This window comes from Homo sapiens, chromosome 6 (genome assembly GCF_000001405.40).
Source record: "Homo sapiens chromosome 6, GRCh38.p14 Primary Assembly".
Taxonomy (NCBI): Eukaryota; Metazoa; Chordata; class Mammalia; order Primates; family Hominidae; genus Homo; species Homo sapiens.
Genome location: NC_000006.12, coordinates 24,667,353 through 24,687,977, shown reverse-complemented (window position 1 = coordinate 24,687,977; position 20,625 = coordinate 24,667,353). Strand labels below are relative to the sequence as shown.

Genomic DNA, 20,625 nt, shown 5'->3' with positions numbered 1-20,625 from the left:
ACTTTGGGAGGCTGAGGCAGGAGGATCACTTGAGGTCAGGAGTTTGAGACCAGCCTCGCCAATACGGTGAAACCCCCATCTCTGCTAAAAATACACAAATTAGCCAGGCATGGTGGCGCGTGCCTGTAATCCCAGCTGCTCTGGAGGCTGAAGCAGGAGAAATACTTGAACCTGGGAGGCAGAGGTTGCAGTTGAGCCAAGATCGTACCATTGTACTCCAGCCTGGGCAATAAAGTGAGACTCTGTCTCAAAAAAAAAAAAAAAAAAAAAAATTCTATTCTTACCTTTCTAACCATTTCTGTCTTCTTTACATGCTTTCTTTCTCTCAAGCCTGTATGTCTTTAAGGTTCAGTCCTAAATCTTTACTGCTTCTCTCCAGTGTGTTCCTCCTCTTGACATCTCATTCAGGTATTCACCTTCATCACTCATTTCCATAAAGATGACTTTACACTTTGCCTTCCTTTGGAATTCCACTTCCTTATTTCTATGTGTGTTGGAGTCCACATGGTATTTCTAGATCCTAGCACAGTGCGTGTCAGTTGATATTCCCAACGTATGTTCCTCCACGTGTTACTGTGGGAGAAAAGTTTCAATGGCAACTAACTTAAACACGATAATGTTAAGCATATTTATTTACTGCAGAACTACTCAAAAGTTTTAATATGTAAAAGGGATACAACATATCCACTTATATGAAGTACCTAGAGTAGTCAGTTCATAGAGACAGAAAGTAGAATGGTGGTAGCCAGAGCTGGGGGCAAGGAGAAATGGAGAGTTATTGTTTAATGGGTCGTAGTTCCAGTTTTGCAAGATGGAAAGACTTCCGTAGATGGATAGTGGTAATCATTGCAAAACAATGAGGATGTAATTAATATTACAAAACTGTACACTTAGAAATGGTTAAGATGGTGTGTGTCTCCTCCGAATCTCCTGTTGAAATGTGATCCCTAATGCTGAGGTAGGGCCTAGTGAGAGGTGTTTGGGTAATGGGGATAGATTTCTCACGAATGGTTTGGTGCCCCTCTTGCTCATGCAAGATCTGATTGTTTAAAAGAGTGTAGCAGCCTAGGCAACAAAGTGAGGCCTGTTTTTACAAAAAATTTTAAAAATTAGCTGGAGATGGTGGCACGCCCCTGTGGTCCCAGCTACATGGGAGGCTGAGACAAGGAGGATTGCTTGAGCCCAGGAGGTTGAGGCTGCAGTGAGCTGTGAATGTGCCACTGTACTCTAGCCTGGGTGACAGGGTAAGATCCTGTAAGAAAAAAGAAAAGAAAAGAAAAGAAGAAGAGAAGAGAAGACAGAAAAGAGAGAGAGAGAAAGAGAGAGAAGAAAGAGAGAAAGAGTGAAAGAGAAAGAAAGGAGAGGAAGAAAAGAAAGAAAGGAAGGAAGGAAAGAAAAGAAAAAAGAATAGAATAAAATAAAATAGAAAAGAAAAGAAAAAAAAGAGTGTGGCACTCCCTCTCTCTTGCCATTTGACGCACCTGCTTGCACTTTGCTTTCAGACATGATTGTAAGCTTCCTGAGCCCTCACCAGAAGCAAGCACCCCACTTCTTGTACAGCCTGCAGAACTGTGAGTCAAAATAATCCTCTTTTCTTTATAAATTACCCAGTCTCAGGTATTCCTTTATAGCAACGCAAATGGACTAACACAGGTATTAAATTTTATGTTATGTGTATTTTACCAAAATTTTTAAAAAAGGATACATCAGTGTTTCCTGAACTTACTCATGAAACTCCTTTTCTAAACAGTACCTCTGATGGGACTCTTCCTTGCAATACACTTTCCATTCCTAGGTTATAAATTCCTAGAGGCCAAGAACTATGGTTAGTATTTCTTTATAGTCCCACAGTACTTAGTTTGTTGACAAATTTAAAAGTGATCTTTATATCAAGAGCAGGACATTTAGTCTGACGGTTAACCTTTTTTTTTTTCCTTTTTTTAAATTGAGATTGAGTCTAACACCCTATGTTAGCCAGGGTGGTCTTGAACTCCTGCCCTCAAGCAATTCTCCCACCTAGGCCTCCCAAAGTGCTGGGATTACAAGTGTGCGCTATGGTACTCAGCCTGACTGTTAATCTTTGTTCTAAGTCAATGCTTTTCACTTTAGCACTATGAACATTTGGACTGCATACTTTTTTGTTGTGGGGGAATAGGGCACAGATTTGTACACTGTAAGATATTTAGCACCACTTCTGGTCTCTATCCATTAGATGCCAGTAGTGTCCCTCAAAAATGTCTCCAGACTTTGCCAATGTCCCTCGGGGAGCAAAATCACCTCCAACTGAGAACAGCTTGTGTAGTTAATATTACCTTAAAAAGTACAGTAAAAGGGCCGGGCGCGGTGGCTTACGCCTGTAATCCCAGCACTTTGGGAGGCTGAGGCGTGTGGATCATGAGGTCAGGAGATCGAGACCATCCTGGCTAACATGGTGAAACCCTGTCTCTACTAAAAATACAAAAAATTAGCCGGGCGTGGTGGCAGGCGCCTGTAGTCCCAGCTACTCGGGAGGCTGAGGCAGGAGAATGGTGTGAACCCGGGAGGCGGAGCTTGCAGTGAGCCGAGATTGCACCACTGCACTCCAGCCTGGGCAACAGAGCAAGACTCTGTATCAAAAAAAAAAAAAAAAAAAAAAAAAAAAAAAAGTACAGTAAAAGGAAAGAGACCATGTCTACAACTAGATTTATGAATTACTATGCATAAATACATACTTTATCCCTAGCAACTCTGCCTATACAAAACATAAACAGCCACAAAACCTCTTTTAGATCAAATTAGCAAATACAAAGTACCTACAATGGTATCAATCTGTACAGTTCAACAGCCAGTAGCCACGTCAGTACTGAGCACTTGCAATGTGGCTAGTCTGAACTCAGACGTACTGTAAGTATAAAATTCACACTGGATTTCAAAAATTAAGTATGGAAAGATTTAAGACTCAAAAAAATTAAAAAAAAATTTTTTTTAGAGACAGGGTCTCACTTTGTCACCAGGCTGGAGTGCAGTGGTACAATCATAGCTCACTGCAGCCTTGAAATCCTGGGCTCAAGGGATCCTCTTGCCTCAGCCTTCAGAGAAGAGGAGACCACATCTACGCACTATCATGCCTGGAAAATTTTTAATTTTTTGTAGAGAAGGGGTCTTGCTATGTTGCCCAGGCTAGTCTCAAACTCCTAGCCTCAAGTAACCTTCCCACCTGGGCCTCCCAAAGCACTGGGATTATAGGCATGAGACCATGTCTGCCTGATTAACACTTTTTATATACTGTTACCTGTATTACTAAAATTAATTTCACCTATTTCTTTTCACTTTTTAAAACGTGGCTATTTTACAATTTATAACTACAGATATCACTCACATTGTAGCTTACATTGTATTTCCACCAGTTAGCACTAATCTGGACACTTCAGCCGTACTGCAACTTCTGGTTCAACGGGCATATCAGTCTTCTTGGAAGGCAAGTTACCATCACTGCCAACTTAGGCAAGGATGTAGTTTATGACTATTCCAGTGTGTCTGTTCAAGGTATGAGGATTTTAACCGGATACTCAAAGGCAATCCAACCCATGGCAAGATTATCACAAGAAGATACACACTCATGAAGTTGTTGAAAGCTTACCAAGGAAAATGACTACAGATTTTTAAGGAATTCAAAGATCCCCTTAGGCCAATACATCCTTTTCTGGATAACTTATCTTTCAAAGAGTTACTATCAAATAGTATGCCCTTGGATTTTATGCCATTTGCCATTTGAAAACATTAAATGTATTTGTCTAAGTATTATTTCCTCTATTTTTCACAAAAGCCCTGAGAGATAGTTAGGGACAGTTATTATATACGTTGTTACAACACAGCCTGAGAGTTGTGTTTCAGGAGGGGACCTATACATGACTGCAGCTGATTCTGTGTTTAAACTCCACTTCCAAATTTCCCAGTATTCTATCTTAATCAGAAAAACAGACATGCATGCATTAAAACATTTATGAAACCCCCTAAACGTTCTTAGGTTAACTAACTCAAGAAGCTGACAATACCAAGGGCTTTTGTTTTTCACGCTGTGAAAGAAAATATCTTGGGCCCCAAAATCACTAAGCTACAAGGAAAATTCAAGCTGGGAACTGCTTAGGGCAAACCTGCCTCCCATTCTATTCAAAGTCATCCCTCTGCTCACTGAGATAAACGCGTATCTGATTGCTTCCTTTAGAAAGGCTAATTAGAAACTCAAAAGAATGCAGCAGTTGGTCTCCCACCTACCTGTGACCTGGAAGCCCCCTCCCTACTTCGAGTTGTCCTACCTTTCCAGACCGAACCAATGTTCATTTTATATATATTGACTGATGTTTCATGTCTCCTAAAATGTATAAAACCAAGCTGTGATCTGACCACCTTGGGCACGTCATCAGAACCAACCTTGGCAAAATAAACTTAATTTTTTTTTTGAGAGAGACAGTCTCACTCTGTCCACCCAGGCTGGAGCGCAGCAGCACAATCTCGGCTCACTGCAAACTCCGCCTCTTGGTGCAAGCGATTTTCATGTTTCAGCCTCCTGAGTAGCTGGGATTACAGGCATTTGCCACCACACCTGGCTAATTTTTGTATTTTGGTAGAGACAGGGTTTCACCATGTTGGCCAGGCTGGTCTTGAACTCCTGACCTCAGATGATCTGCCTGCCTTGGCCTCCCAAAGTGCTGGGATTACAGGCGTGAGCCACCGGGCCCAACTGCAAAATAAACTTTCTAAATTAACTGAGACCTGTCTCAAATTTTTGGGGTTCACATTTGGTAACCATAAAGGGATCTGAGTGGAGGTGCCCCTGACCTTTGACAAATCTCCTATCAGTGCTTGGTACCAGCATGAGCTAACTTTATGGCTCAAACTGACAGACAGGACTAGCTGGATTTCCTAGGCCAACTAAGAATCCCTAAGCCTAGCTGGGAAGGTGACCGCATCCACCTTTAAACACGGGGCTTGCAACTTAGCTCACACCCAACCAATCAGAGAGCTCACTAAAATGCTAATTAGGCAAAAACAGGAGGCAAAGAAATAGCCAATCATCTATTGCCTGAGAGCACAGTGGGAGGGACAAGGATCGGGATACAAACCCAGGCGTTCAAGCTGGCAACAGCAACCCTCTTTGGGTCCCCTCTCTTTGTGTGGGAGCTCTGTTTTCACTCTATTTCACTCTATTAAATCTTGTAACTGCACTCTTCTGGTCCATGTTTGTTATGGCTCGAGCTGAGCTTTCGCTCGCCATCCACCACTGCTGTTTGCCGCCATCGCAGACCCGCCACCGCAGACCTGCCACTGCAGACCCACCACTGACTCCCATCCCTCCGGATCCAGCAGGGTGTCCGCTGTGCTCCTGATCCAGCGAGGTGTCCATTGCCACTCCCAATCAGGCTAAAGGCTTGCCATTGTTCCTGCACAGCTAAGTGCCTGGGTTCATCCTAATCAAGCTGAACACTAGTCACTGGGTTCCACGGTTCTCTTCCGTGACCCATGTCTTCTAATAGAGCTATAACACTCACCGCATGGCCCAAGATTCCATTCCTTGGAATCCGTGAGGCCAAGAACCCCAGGTAAGAGAACACGAGGCTTGCCACCATCTTGGAAGTGGCCTGCCACCATTGTGGAAGTGGCCCACAACCATCTTGGGAGCTCTGGAAGCAAGGACCCCCGGTAACATTTTGGTGACCACGAAGGGACATCCAAAGCGGTGAGTAATATTGGACCACTTTCGCTTGTTATTCTGTCCTATCCTTCCTTAGAATTGGAGGAAAATACTGGGCACCTGTCAGCCAGTTAAAAACGATTAGCGTGGCCGCCGGACTTAAGACTCAGGTGTTACGCTATCTGCGGAAGGGCTTTCTAACAACCCCCAACCCTTCTGGGTTGGGGACGTTGGTCTGCTTGGAGCCAGCTTCCACTTTCAATTTTCTTGGGGAATCCGAGGGCTGACTAGAGGCAGAAAGCTGTCGTCCAGAACTCCCGGCATTAGCCTGTTGAGATCATGGCGCAGCCAGAAGTCTCTACTCAACAGTCGCCCATGGGTGCGCCCCTACCTTTCCTTCTGACCCATACCTCATGGGTCCTGACCACGACTTTCTTGAAAGTGTAGCCCCAAAATTCTCCTTACCTTTGAATCTACTTCCTCTGATCCCTGCCTCCTAGGTACTAATGGTTCACACTTTCATTTCCTCTAGCAAGTTGTATCTCCAAAGGGATCTAGGGAGGCTCTGCGTTGTGTCCTTAGGCACCTGGGCTGTAACCCAGGGAGTCTTATCCCTGGTGTCCCTCCTGATTCAGGTATGCAGCTCTCGACATGGGCAGTTATGTGGGACCCGTTCCCCACTACCCTTGCCAGGGCCCCAAGTTTGTAATGGCTGAGAGAGAGAGAGACGGAGAGAGAGGGAGAGACGGAGAGAGAGACAAAGACAGAGTCAAAGAGAAAAAGAAAGAAAAAGATAGAATAAAAAAAAAAAGTGTGCCCTATTCCTTTAAAAGCCAGCGTAAATTTAAAACCTGTAATTGATAATTGAAGGTCTTCTCTATGACTCTATAATACTCCAATACCACTGTTGTCAATGTAAATAAGGGCGTAGCCCAAAAGCACTGAGGCCACTGGCAACCTGTAGCTTTCCTATAAAAAATCCTTAACCCAGTAACCCGCGGATGGGCCAAATGCATTCAGTCGGTAGCGGCAACTGCTTTGCTAAAAGTAGAAAAGTAACTTTTAGAGGAAACCTTCTTGTGAGCACACCTCACCAGTTACATTATTCTAAGTTAAAAAAAAAGCAAAAAGGTAGCTTACTAAATCAAAAATCTTAAAGTATGGGGCTATTATGTTAGAAAAGGGTAATGTAACTCCAACCACTGATAATTCACTTAACCCAGCAGATTTCCTAACAAAGGATTTAAATCTTAATTACCATACAAAGGTCCGACCAGACCTAGGAGGAACTCCCTTCAGGACAGGACGATAGATGGTTCCTCCCAGGTGATTGAGGGAAAAAACCACAATAGGTATTCAGTAATTAATACAGAGACTCTGTGGAAGCAGAGTTAGAAAAATTGCCTAATAATTGGTCTCCTCAAACGTGCGAGCTGTTTGCACTCAGCCAAGCCCATACTTACATAATCAAAAGACTATTTCAATCCTGACTCAAAAGGTTCGCTACACCTCTCTGAAACGAATTTGCATAAGAGTGTTGTTTATGGGAATGCATCTTGATGGGGCAGCTGGGTTGTTATGAAATACCCAGGAACCCAGCCCAGCTCTAGGACTCACCCCTGAGCGCAAAAGCAATGTCGGGCACGCTGGTAAAGGACCACTAGAATCCAGCAGCCCAGACCCCTTTCTTTGTGGTCAAGAGAGGTGGAAAAATAGGTGCAGGACTGCTACATTGGTGAGCGTAACTAATCCGATAAGCAGAGGTCCATGGGTGGTTACGCACCCTGGAAAAGAATAAGCATTAGGCCCTTAGAGGATGCTTTAGGACTAATGCTCATCGGAAAATGACTAGGGGTGCTGGCATCCCTATGTTCTTTTTTCAGATCGGAAACGTTCCCCACACCCCAAGGCAAAAACGCCCTTAAGATGTATTCTGGAGAATAAGGACCAATTTGACCCTCAGACGCTAAGAAAGAAATGACTTATATTCTTCTGCAGTACTGCCTGGCCATGATATCCTCTTCAAGGGGGAGAAACCTGGCCTCTTGAGGGAAGTATAAATTATAACACCATCTTACAGCTTGACCTCTTCTGTAGAAAGGAGGGCAAATGGAGTGAAGTGCCATATGTGCAAACTTCCTTTTCATTAAGAGACAACTCGCAATTATGTAAAAAGTGTGGTTTATGCCCTACAGGAAGCCCTCAGAGTCTGCCTCCCTATCTCAGCATCCCCCCGACTCCTTCTGCAACTAATAAGGGACCCCCCTTTTACCCAAAGGTCCAAAGAAGATAGACAAAGGGATAAACAATGAACCAAACAGTGCCAATATTCCCCGATTATGCCCCCTCCAAGCAATGTGAGGAGCAGAATTCGGCCCAGCCAGAGTGCATGTACCTTTTTCTCTCTCAGACTTAAAGCAAATTAAAATAGACCTAGGTAAATTCTCAGATAACCCTGATGGCTATACTGAAGTTTTATAAGGGTTAGGACAATCTTTTGATCTGATGTGGAGAGATATAATGTTACTGCTAAATCAGACACTAACCCCAAATGAGAGAAGTGTCGCCATAACTGCAGCCCGAAGAGTTTGGTGATCTCTGGTATCTCAGTCAGGTCAATGATAGGATGACAACAGAGGAAAGAGAACAATTCCCCACAGGCCAGCAGGCAGTTCCCAGTGTAGACCCTCATTGGGACACAGAATCAGAACATGGAAATTGGTGCCGCAGACATTTGCTAACTTGTGTGCTAGGACTAAGGAAAACTAGGAAGAAGCCTATGAATTATGCAATGATGTCCACTATAACACAGGGAAAGGAAGAAAATCCTACTGCCTTTCTGGTGAGACTAAGGGAGGCATTGAGGAAGCATACCTCTCTGTCACCTGACTCTATTGAAGGCCAACTAATCTTAAAGGATAAGTTTATCACTCAGTCAACTGCAGACATTAGAAAAAAACTTCAAAAGTCCGCCTTAGGCCCAGAGCAAAACTTAGACCCTATTGAACTTGGCAACCTCGGTTTTTTATAATACAGATCAGGAGAAGCAGGCGGAATGGGACAAACGGGATAAAAAAAAAGGCCACTGCTTTAGTCATGGCCCTCAGGCAAGCGGACTTTGGAGTCTCTGGAAAAGGGAAAAGCTGGGCAAATCGAATGCCTAATATGGCTTGCTTCCAGTGTGGTCTACAAGGACACTTTAAAAAAGATTGTCCAAGTAGAAGTAAGCTGCCCCCTCGTCCATGCCCCTTATGTCAAGGGAATCACTGGAAGGCCCATTGCCCCAGGGGACGAAGGTCCTCTGAGTCAGAAGCCACTAACCAGATGATCCAGCAGCAGGACTGAGGGTGCCCGGGGCAAGCACCAGCCCATGCCATCACCCTCACAGGGCCCCGGGTATGCTTGAACATTGAAGGCCAGGAGGTTAACTGTCTCCTGGACACTGGCATGGCCTTCTCAGTCTTACTCTCCTGTCCCAGACAACTGTCCTCCAGATCTGTCACTATCCGAGGGGTCCTAGGACAGCCACTAAGTTGTGACTGGGGAACTTTACTCTTTTCACATGCTTTTCTAATTATGCCTGAAAGCCCCACTCCCTTGTTAGGGGGAGACATTCTAGCAAAAGCAGGGGCCATTATATATCTGAACATAGGAGAAGGAACACCTGTTTGTTTTCCCCTGCTTGAGGAAGGAATTAATCCTGACGTCTGGGCAACAGAAGGACAATATGGATGAGCAAAGAATGCCTGTCCTATTCAAGTTAAATTAAAGGATTCTACCTCCTTTCCCTACCAAAGGCAGTACCCTTAGACCTGAGGCCCAACAAGGACTCCAAAAGATTGTTAAGGACTTAAAAGCCCAAGGCCTAGTAAAACCATGCAATAGCCCCTGCAATACTCCAGTTTTAGGAGTACAGAAACCTAATGGACAGTGGAGGTTAGTGCAAGATCTCAGGATTATCAATGAGGCTGTTCTTCCTCTATACCCTGCTATACCTAACCCTTGTACTCTGCTTTCCCAAAAACCACAGAAAGCAGAGTGGTTTACAGTCCTGGACCTTAAGGATGCCTTTTTCTGCATCCCTGTACACCCTGACTCTCAATTCTTGTTTGCCTTTGAAGATCCTTTGAACCCAATGTCTCAACTCACCTGGACTGTTTTACCCCAAGGGTTCAAGCATAGCGCCCATCTATTTGGCCAGGCATTAGCCCAAGACTTGAGCCAATTCTCATACCTGGACACTCTTGTCCTTCAGTACGGGGATGATTTAATTTTAGCCACCCGATCAGAAACCTGGTGCCATCAAGCCACCCAAGCACTCTTAAATTTCCTTGCTACCTGTGGCTACAAGGTTTCCAAACAAAATGCTCAGCTCTGCTCACAGCAGGTTAAAAACTTAGGGCTAAAATTATCCAAAGGCACAAGGGCCCTCAGTGAGGAACGTATCCAGCCTATACTGGCTTATCCTCATCCCAAAACCCTAAAGCAACTAAGAGGGTTCCTTGGCATAACAAGCTTCTGCCGAATATGGATTCCCAGGTACAGCGAAATAGTCAGGCCATTATACACACTAAGGAAACTCAGAAAGCCAATACCCATTTAGTAAGATGGACACCTGAAGCAGAAGTGGCTTTTCAGGCCCTAAAGAAGGCCCTAACCCAAGCCCCAGTGGTAAGCTTGCCAATGGGGCAAGACTTTTCTTTATATGTCGCAAAAGAAACAGGAATAGCTCTAGGAGTCCTTATACAGGTCCGAGGGACCAGCTTGCAACCTGTGGCATACCTGAGTAAGGAAATTGATGTACTGGCAAAGGGTTGGCCTCATTGTTTACGGGTAGTGGCAACAGTAGCAGTCTTAGTATCTGAAGCAGTTAAAGTAATACAGGGAAGAGATCTTACTGTGTGAACATCTCATGATGTGAATGGCATACTCACTGCTAAAGGAGACTTGTGGCTGTCAGACAACCGTTTACTTAAATATCAGGCTCTATTACTTGATGGGCCAGTGGTGTGACTGCGCACTTGTGCAACTCTTAACACAGCCACATTTCTTCCAGACAATGAAGAAAAGATAGAACATAAATGCCAACATGTGATTGCTCAAACCTAATGCTGCTCAAGGGGACCTTTTAGGGGTTCCCTTGACTGATCCCAACCTCAACTTGTATACTGATGGAAGTTCCTTTGCAGAAAAAGGACTTTGAAAAGCGGGGTATGCAGTGGTCAGTGATAATGGAATACTTGAAACTAATCCCCTCACTCCAGGAACTAGTGCTCAGCATGCAGAACTAATAGCCCTCACTCGGGCACTAGAATTAGGAGAAGGGAAAAGGGTAAATATATATACAGACTCTAAGTACGCTTACCTAGTCCTCCATGCCCATGCAGCAATATGGAGAGAGGGGAATTCCTAACTTCCGAGGGAACACCTATCAAACATCAGGAAGCCATTAGGAGATTACTATTGGCTGTACAGAAACCTAAAGAGGTGGCAGTCTTACACTGCCAGAGTCACCAGAAAGGAAAGGGAAACAGAAAGGAACTGCCAAGCGGATATTGAAGCCAAAAGAGCGGCAAGGCAGGACCCTCTATTAGAAATGCTTATAGAAGGACCCCCAGTCCTTCTATAATTGTCCCTGTTTGTAGATGACATGATTGTATATTTAGAAAACCCCATCATCTCAGCCCAAAATCTCCTTAAGCGGATAAGCAACTTCAGCAAAGTCTCAGGATACAAAATCAATGTGCAAAAATCACAAGCATTCCTATACACCAATAACAGACAAACAGCCAAATCATGAGTGAACTCCCATTCACAATTGCTTCAAAGAGAATAAAATACCTAGGAATCCAACTTACAAGGGATGTGAAGGACCTCTTCAAGGAGAACTACAAACCACTGCTCAACGAAATAAAAGAGGACACAAACAAATGGAAGAACATTCCATGCTCATGGATAGGAAGAATCAATATCGTGAAAATGGCCATACTGCCCAAGGTAATTTATAGATTCAATGCCATCCCCATCAAGCTACCAATGACTTTCTTCACAGAATTGGAAAAAACTACTTTAAAGTTCATATGGAACCAAAAAAGAGCCTGCATTGCCAAGACAATCCTAAGCCAAAAGAACAAAGCTGGAGAGGCATCACGCTACCTGACTTCAAACTATACTACAAGGCTACAGTAACCAAAACAGCATGGTACTGGTACCAAAACAGAGATATAGACCAATGGAACAGAACAGAGCCCTCAGAAATAATACCACACATCTACAACCATCTCATCTTTGACAAACCTGACAAAAACAAGAAATGGGGAAAGGATTCCCTTTTAATAAATGGTGCTGGGAAAACAGGTTAGCCATATGTAGAAAGCTGAAACTGGATCCCTTCCTTACACCTTACACAAAACTTAATTCAAGATGGATTAAAGACTTAAATGTTAGGCTTAAAACCATAAAAACCCTAGAAGAAAACCTAGACAATACCATTCAGGGCATAGGCAAAGACTTCATGTCTAAAACACCAAAAGCAATGGCAACAAAAGCCAAAATTGACAAATGGGAGCTAATTAAACTAAAGAGCTTCTGCACAGCAAAAGAAACTACCATTAGAGTGAACAGGCAACCTACAGGATGGGAGAAAATTTTTACAATCTACCCAACTGACAAAGGGCTAATATCCAGAATCTACAAAGAACTTAAACAAATTTACAAGAAAAAATCAAACAACCCCATCGAAAAGTGGGCAAAGGATATGAACAGACACTTCTCAAAATAAGACATTTATGCAGCCAACAGATACATGAAAAAATGCTCTTCATCACTGGCCATCAGAGAAATGCAAATCAAAACCACAATGAGATACCATCTCACACCAGTTAGAATGGTGATCATTAAAAAGTCAGGAAACAACAGGTGCTGGACAGGATGTGGAGAAATAGGAACACTTTTACACTGTTGGTGGGACTGTAAACTAGTTCAACCATTGTAGAAGACACTGGCAATTCCTCAAGGATCTACACCTAGAAATACCATTTGACCCAGCCATCCCATTACTGGGTATATACCCAAAGGATTATAAATCATGCTGCTGTAAAGACACATGCACATGTATGTTTACTGCAGCACTATTCACCATAGCAAAGACTTGGAACCAACACAAATGTCCATGAATGATAGACTGGAATAAGAAAATGTGGCACATATATACCATGGAATACTATGCAGCCATAAAAAAGGATGAGTTCATGTCCTTTGTAGGGACACGGATGAAGCTGGAAACCATCATTCTCAGCAAACTATTTCAAGGAAAGAAAACCAAACACCACATGTTCTCACTCATAGATGGGAACTGAACAATGAGAACACTTGGACACAGGGTGGGGAACATCACACACCGGGGCCTGTCGTGGGGTGGGGGGAGGGGGGAGGGATAGCATTAGGAGATATACCTAATGTAAATGATGAGTTAATGGGTGCAGCACACCAACATGGCACATGTATACATATGTAACAAACCTGCACGTTGCACACATGTACCCTAGAACTTAAAGTATAATAAGAAAATAAAAAAACAGTTGAACTCTAGGGCTGGGTGCACTGACTCATGCCTGTAATCCCAGCATTTTGGGAGGCCAAGGCAGTCAGATCACTTGAGGTCAGGAGTTTGAGACTAGCTTGGCCAACATGGTGAAACCCTGTCTCTACTAAATATACAAAAAATGAAAATTAGCCAGGCGTGGTGGCAGGCGCCTGTAATCCCACCTACTCAGGAGGCTGACGCAGGAGAATAACTTGAACACAGGAAGCAGACGCTGCACTCAGCTGAAATCACGCAACTGCACTCCAGCCTGGGTGACAGAATGAGACTCTATCTCAAAAAAACAAAAAAACAAACAAAACCCCCCAAAAACGGTGAACAAGTTTTGTCTAATTCAAAGCTTATTTAGGCCAGGGGCAGCGGCTCATGCCTGCAATCCCAGCACTTTGGGAGGCCGTGGCATGCAGATCACTTGAAGTCAGTTCAAGACCAGCTTGATCAACATGGTGAAACCCTGTCCCTACTATAAATATAAAATTAGTTGGGCATTGTGGTGCACGTGTAATCCCAGCGACTCGAGAGGCTGAGGCAGGAGAATCACTTGAACCCAGGAGGTGGAGGTTGCAGTGAGCCAAGATCGGGCCATTGCCTTCCAGCCTGGGTGCCAGAGCAAGACTCTGTCTCAGATAAAAAACAAACAAACAAAAAAAACCCCACAAAACTTATTTAAAGGTTATGTATACAACAAGGTAAAGGAATCAGGAAATAAGAGAGATGTTGTAAAGGAAGTTATAAAACAAATTTTTTTTGTATGTGGTAAGAAAGCTTAGAAATAATTTTACATGAGAAAGAATACTGTATGGTAAATTTAGTCCTAAGATAAAAGTTCAAGCATGTCATGAATGGTCTGTGTATGTCACAATAAGAGGATTTGTTTTAAAAAAATTGTATATGATCATGTTTACAATTAAAAGGAAATTATAATGCTCTTTCTAGAGACTGGGCTTCATGTTAAAAAAGACACATATACACGAAATTATTGGTTAGAAAAATAAACTTTTCTTAAGGGGTTAACTTACTCTTAATAAATTATAAGAGAATTTGCCTACGAATGGTGGCTTCTGCCTGTAATCCCAGCACTTTGGGAGGCCAAGACAGGTGGATCACTTGAGGTCAGGAGTTGTAGACTAGCCCGGCCAACGTAGTGACACCTCGTCTCTAACAAAAATACAAAAATTAGCCAGGCCTGGTGGCATGTGCCTGTAGTCCCAGCTACTTGGCAGGCTGAGGCACAAGAATTGCTTGAACCCAAGAGGCAGAGGCTGCAGTGAGCCAAGATTGCACCAGTGCACTCCAAACTGGGCAACAGTGCGAGACTCTATTTCAAAAAAAAAATTATAAGAGAATTTAATTTTTTTTTAAAACTGAAAGTTCAATTTTTATTGCATCTTGCCATTTTTTTTCAGCTTTCTCTCCCCTTTAAAAAGGCACACTGTCTTAAAGGTCTAAAGGAAGTGTTTTCTTCCAACATCATGTTCTGTGCATTGCAGAAGGTCTTTTCTTTTGCTTTTTGGTAACTGACCTAACAGAGTTTACATTTTGTTGAAATAATTCCTATGTTTAGGAAAAAACTGAGATTAAAAAAAGATTTTTTAATTAACATGATTACAACTGGGTATTTTCCTGTATGTGCTTTTAAAGTCCTTGTGACCTTAGGTTACAGGGCTTTGACTCCTGGGTCTAAAAAGGACACCAAGTCCTACTAAATCTTAAACACTGACAGCAATTGAAGCTGTCATCTTCAGGCCCCGTAGAAGACGCCAATCAAAATAAACTGCATTCCTGAGATACACGGCCAGAAATTAAAGGCATTCAACTCCTCAAGGCCCAGAGACTATCGAAGAAGAGGTGGGCAGGTAAGACTGTAAGGTCCAAATTTGAAAGATAAAATAAGTTCAGTTTCTCTATAAATTAATGATTAACGTCAAAGGCACAATGATGCAAGATCAGCTTATGGGCCCCTGTAATCAGATTAACAAGGTTTTCTTGACACATTAACTGACTCCTTAATAAAGGTTATAAAGGCTTATGGAAGTTATATCTTTTGTTTTCTTTTCTTTTTTTGAGATGGAGTCTCGCCCTGTCACCCAGGCTGGAACTGCAGTGGCTCAATCTCAGCTCACTGTAACCTCCGCCTCCTGGCTTCAAGCGATTCTCCTGCCTCAGCCTCCCGAGTAGCTGGGACTACAGACGCGTGCCACCACACTCAGCTAATTTTTGTATTTTTAGTAGAGAAGGGGTTTCACCATGTTGGCCAGGATGGTCTTGATCTCCTGACCTCCTGATCTGCCCACCTCGGCCTCCCAAAGTGCTGGGATTATAGGCGTGAGCCACCACGCCCAGTTAGAAATTATATCTTATGGTCAAGTTTAAAATTTTATAGATTGTTTATAAAATTTTGAAAACAAATTTAATTAGCTTCATGCTGTTTTTATTAGGGCTTATTGTTTGGAAAGTTAAGTCCCCTCTCTCAAAGAATGAAGGTTTTCACCTTTTTATGAAATCCTTGAGTTATCACTTTGGTTAAATGAATGATTTATTTTATAATGACCTGTGATCCTATTTTTGTGATATCAGGTGTTTTAAACATTTGATATTTGACAAACTTTCCAAAATCAAATTATAAATTATGTCTTTTTCTGACCTAATTAGTCCTTTAAGATATTAGATTCCCTGAAGTCCAAAAATGGCATAATTTGGCTTATTTGGTACAAAAATTACACAGGAAGCATTGTCAAATATGCAACAGTGTTTGGCTTTCTTTGAGATGTATTTGTATAAATATGTTATTGGTATGTGTTCCAAAATTATGGGAAATTCCTGTAATTCTGATATGACCTAGTGTACATTATCAGTAATAATCATAATTGTTACGTTAAAATTATTGTGTGCTACAGAGGAGAGGTATCAAATTTCCTTGTCAATTGTGTCTTTGCCTATGGCTGCCCTAAAACTTTTAGTCATCCACGCACAATTGTTGTGTTGTTTTGGTCCTCTTTAGAAAGTGTTTTTTTTTGTTGTTGCTGTTGTTGTTTTTTGAGATTCATTATTTATTCTTGATAATGTTTTCTTTGTTAAATTTGTTTTTTTAAATTATACTTTAAGTTCTAGGGTACATGTGCACAACGTGCAGTTTTGTTACATATGTATACATGTGCCATGTTGGTTTGCTGCACCCATTAATTCGTCATTTACATTAGGTATTTCTCCTAGTGCTATCCCTCCCCCATCCCCCCACCCCACGACAGGCCCCAGTGTGTGATGTTCCCTGCCCTGTGTCCAAATGTTCTCATTGTTCAATTCCCAACTATGAGTGAGAACATGCGGTATTTGGTTTTCTGTCCTTGTGATAGTTTGCTGAGAATGATGGTTTCCAGCTTCATCCATGTCCCTACAAAGGACATGAACTCATCCTTTTTTATGGCTGCATAGTATTCCATCGTGTATATGTGTCATTTTTTCTTAATCCAGTCTATCATTGATGGACATTTGGGTTGGTTCCAAGTCTTTGCTATGGTGAATAGTGCTGCAATAAACATACATGTGCATGTGTCTTTATCGTAGCATGATTTATAATCCTTTGGGTATATACCCAGTAATGGGATGGCTGGGTCAAATGGTATTTCTAGTTCTAGATCCTTGAGGAATCACCACAGTGTCTTCCACAATGGTTGACCTAGTTTACACTCCCACCAACAGTGTAAAAACGTAACTATTCCTCCACATCCTCTCCAGCACCTGTTGTTTCCTCTTGAATGCAGGTCTCCATTAACTTTGGAGATTGTTACATGAGAATAGAGGAAAAACTTTCAGAACTCATGGAGAGCTAAAATGCTCATGAATATCAAGCAGAATAGGAATTAACTAAGGGGACTGAACTAATCTTTTTGACTTTTTGCTTAAACATTGCTGATCTTTTGCTTTGTTTTTCAGAGCCTTGAAACTTTTCTTTTGAGCTATTGACAGCTTTTAACAATTTAGTATACTCCAATCAACAAAATTTGGAGCATATTTGTTTCTCTCTACCTGATTTCTCCAGAATTTGTAAACTATTTGTGAGTATTCTTAACTTGTGCCAATACAGTTATTTGCATAAGTGCAGTAAGAATCTGTTTTCATTTGTAACAGGACACAGTTGGAGAAACTGATTATTTTACCAAGGCTTTGAGTGGAAAGGTGTACTTTCCTTTAAGTAATCAAACCTGACTTATGGAGCCAATAAAAGCCCTTGGGAAAACTGGCCTCACACTTTACAAAGTCCCTGTACAGGGTTTCTGATATGTGCTAAGTAAAGAATGTCATTTTCTGACAGGTCCAGGAGCCCCTGGTTTATCATGGAACATCAAAAAGAGGAAATTCACCCTACTCATAGGTATTTGATGGTACAAATCCATGGCTGAGCTTGGCTTTAAAAAGAATCTTATCTGAGATTCCTTCTATGGAACAAAGTTCCTTCAAAGCCAATTTTAAAAAGCCTATGTGAAAAATAATTATTCTTGCTACACTTTATATAAATAATCTGGTCAAATATAATAAAGCAAATCAGTCCTACCATGATTTGTCTTTAGTAAAAATGGAAAACTGGAGAGAGAAAAATTGTTTCAAAACTTACAGTCCACTTGTTGTTAGATACTAGTCTTGCCTAATTTTTTCAATTTTTATTATTTTCTACAGTTTAGGCTGAATTCTAATTTTTCCTGGCTACAAGTCTCCAAAATAATATTTTTAATTTTTTTCTTTTCTTTTCCTTTTTTTTCCTAATTAGGAGTCACTGAAAACAGCTGTGCTTTTGTAAAGCCCTGCAAACTGAAGCTAGACAACTTAAACTTCAGAAGAAAATAACAGCAACCTATTTACACGCATAAGCCACTTTCATACCTGCCTACTGATGTATGGACTTCAGAATAACGTGGCCTATGTATATTTTCCAGGATTGTTCTTTTGTTTGTTGTTTTTCACCCTTCCTCCCCCTATTTTCTCTTCACAAGACATGGGAGTTCACAGCCTTCTAAAAATTAGCTTTCCTAATAACTTGGGACTTACCTGTCTAGGAATAAACCATCCTAGCATGAGCGATCAGATGAAATCTGGGACCAAAGACTCATTTTTCTTCTAAAATGCTTTCTCCAAAAAAAAATTTTTTTTAAAAAAAAGAAAAGGGGGCAAATGTAAAGGAAAATATCTTGGGCCCCCAAATCACTAAGTTAAAAGGAAAATTCAAGCTAGGAACTACTTAAGACAAACTTGCCTCCCATTCTATTCAAAGTCATCCCTCTGCTCATTGAGATAAATGTGTATCTGACTGCCTCCTTAGGAAAGGTAAATCAGAAACTCAAAAGAATGCAACCATTTGTCTCCCACCTACCCGTGACCTGGAAGCCCCCTTCCCGCTTCAAGTTGTCCCGCCTTTCCGAACCCAACCAGTGTTCATTTTACATATATTGATTGATGTCTTATATGTCCCTAAAACGCATAAAACCAAGCTGTGCTCTGACCACCTTGGGCACATGTTGTCAGGACCTCCTGAGGCTGTGTCACTGCGTGCGCATCCTCAACCTTGGCAAAATAAACTTTCTAAATTAACTGATACCTGTCTCAAATTTTTGGGGTTCACAAGGTTTAGTTATAAATGCTTCTTATGGAGCATGATTTTCTTACAAGCGAGGCAGGAGAATCGGATCTGGAGGCAGGGAACCTAGGGCTGTTTCACGCTGACTTCCTAGAACTAAATTGAAAGTAAAACCCTAACTTCCCACACCAAGTAACAAAAGAACCAGAGGCTTCTCCCTTTCCAAACCCCCACCTTTTCTGTGTGGCAGATGGGAAATTGAAAGTACCTCTGATTGGTTGCAAAAAGCAAAATTACGCTAAGAAGTAAGTTATCCCTTAAAAAAAATTATTCTTTCTGCAACCAATCAGATCTTCCCATAGGAGTGTAACTATGTAACTTCACCATCTGATTGCACGCCACGTCTTCGTTTGCATATAAGGGCAACTTTGTAACTTCACTTTAGCCTTTCATTGGTTGCTTTTCACAGCCAATTGTGGGTCACCACTTCATTTACATGAGATGAGTACCAAGTGGCCAATAGGAGACTTCAATGGGGTATTAGGGCCCCTGAGCTGCTGCTCCACACCCCAAACACAGGAGTGTCCTTTCATTTTCAGTAAATCCCTGCTTTTGGCGGGGCATGGTGGCTCATGCCTGTAATCCCAGCACTTCGGGAGGCCAAGGCAGGTGGATCACCTGAGGTCAGCAGTTTGAGACCAGCCTGACCAACATGATGAAACCCTGTCTCTAATAAAAATAAAGAATTAGCCAGGCTTGGTGGCGCATGCCTGTAATCATCCCAGCTACTTGGAAGGCTGAGGCATGAGAATCACTTGAACCCAGGAGGCGGAGGTTGCAGTGAGCCGAGATCGTGTCACTGCACTCCCGCATGGGCAACAGAGCAAGACTCCATCTCAAAACAACAACAACAACAAACACCTTCAAGGTCTGGCGTGGCGGCTCACACCAGTAATCCCAGCACTTTGGGAGGCGGAGGCAGGCGTTTCACCTGAGGTCGGGAGTTCGAGAGCAGCCTGACCAACATGGAGAAACCCTGTCTCTACTAAAAGTACAATATTAGCTGGGCATGGTGGCGCATGCCTGTAATCCCAGCCACTCGGGAGGCTGAGTGAGGCAGGAGAATTGTTTGAACCAGGGAGGTGGAGGTTGCAGTGAGCCGAGATCGCGCCATTGCACTCCAGCCTAGGCAACAAGGGCGAAACCTCATCCTAAAAAAACAAAAACAAACAAACACCTTCGGGCTTTGTGAGTGCTGGTCTCAGAAAAGCACTCAGTCTTCCTCCAAGGGCTAACTTACTTCTTCAGGAGTTGGGTGCCTTTGAGAAATTTCCCAAACCACTACAGAGGAACAACTTCTCCCTTCGTTCACCACTCTACCAAGCACTTGGCTTTTGTACCTTATTGCAATTATTTATCTTCTAATCTTCTAGAGCCTAGAGAATTAGACTGTAATGTGCCTTAAATGCAGAGGTTTCTCTTACTCTTCTCTGGAGCAATGCAGACGTTTGTTGGTTGAAGGATCAAACTCCAAAGTCCCTCCCAGCCTTGGAACTGTCTCCACGAGTCATAACCATACTTATCTATGTTTAGATAGAGAACTTACGCGTTCGACCCAGCATATTTAGGGGCTCCATTAAAGTAATAATCATTATTACTAAGGTGAATTTACAGGCGTACTAGAACACAACCTAACAAGAGATAATTATTCAAAGCTCACAACGGCACCAAGCACGGTGCTTTCTTTTCCTTCATTAGAAGCCACGGCTTCTCCCCTACCTT

General features: G+C 42.4%; 1 protein-coding gene and 1 long non-coding RNA gene across 3 annotated transcripts in view, besides 3 other annotated features; one reads left to right on the top strand and one right to left on the bottom strand.

Annotated features, from left to right (window-relative positions):
* Positions 1-20,625, bottom strand: part of ACOT13 (acyl-CoA thioesterase 13) — a 37,970-nt gene that overhangs the window by 17,069 nt on the left and 276 nt on the right. Inside the window, exon 2 of one of the 2 annotated variants that reach the window (NM_001160094.2) lies at positions 285-573. The exons of the other annotated variant lie outside the window; for it this stretch is intronic. Coding sequence (NP_001153566.1) covers positions 285-296 — 12 coding nt within the window. The 5' untranslated portion in view covers positions 297-573. The remainder of the gene's footprint in view (positions 1-284; positions 574-20,625) is intronic. 2 annotated transcript variants of the gene reach the window in all.
* Positions 3,743-4,509: an enhancer, noted in NCBI's record as "OCT4-NANOG-H3K4me1 hESC enhancer chr6:24683697-24684463 (GRCh37/hg19 assembly coordinates)". NCBI's record gives its function as "activates a minimal SCP1, AML or CMV promoter by ChIP-STARR-seq in primed H9 embryonic stem cells {active_cell/tissue: H9 hESC(primed)}" and the evidence as "EXISTENCE:reporter gene assay evidence [ECO:0000049][PMID:30033119]".
* Positions 4,510-5,278: an enhancer, noted in NCBI's record as "NANOG-H3K27ac-H3K4me1 hESC enhancer chr6:24682928-24683696 (GRCh37/hg19 assembly coordinates)". NCBI's record gives its function as "activates a minimal SCP1, AML or CMV promoter by ChIP-STARR-seq in primed H9 embryonic stem cells {active_cell/tissue: H9 hESC(primed)}" and the evidence as "EXISTENCE:reporter gene assay evidence [ECO:0000049][PMID:30033119]".
* On the top strand, positions 4,703-18,861 carry LOC124901279 (uncharacterized). The gene is made up of 2 exons (XR_007059509.1): positions 4,703-17,329; positions 18,040-18,861. It is a non-coding gene; the product is annotated as an uncharacterized LOC124901279 (long non-coding RNA).
* Positions 5,279-6,046: an enhancer, noted in NCBI's record as "H3K27ac-H3K4me1 hESC enhancer chr6:24682160-24682927 (GRCh37/hg19 assembly coordinates)". NCBI's record gives its function as "activates a minimal SCP1, AML or CMV promoter by ChIP-STARR-seq in naive H9 embryonic stem cells {active_cell/tissue: H9 hESC(naive)}" and the evidence as "EXISTENCE:reporter gene assay evidence [ECO:0000049][PMID:30033119]".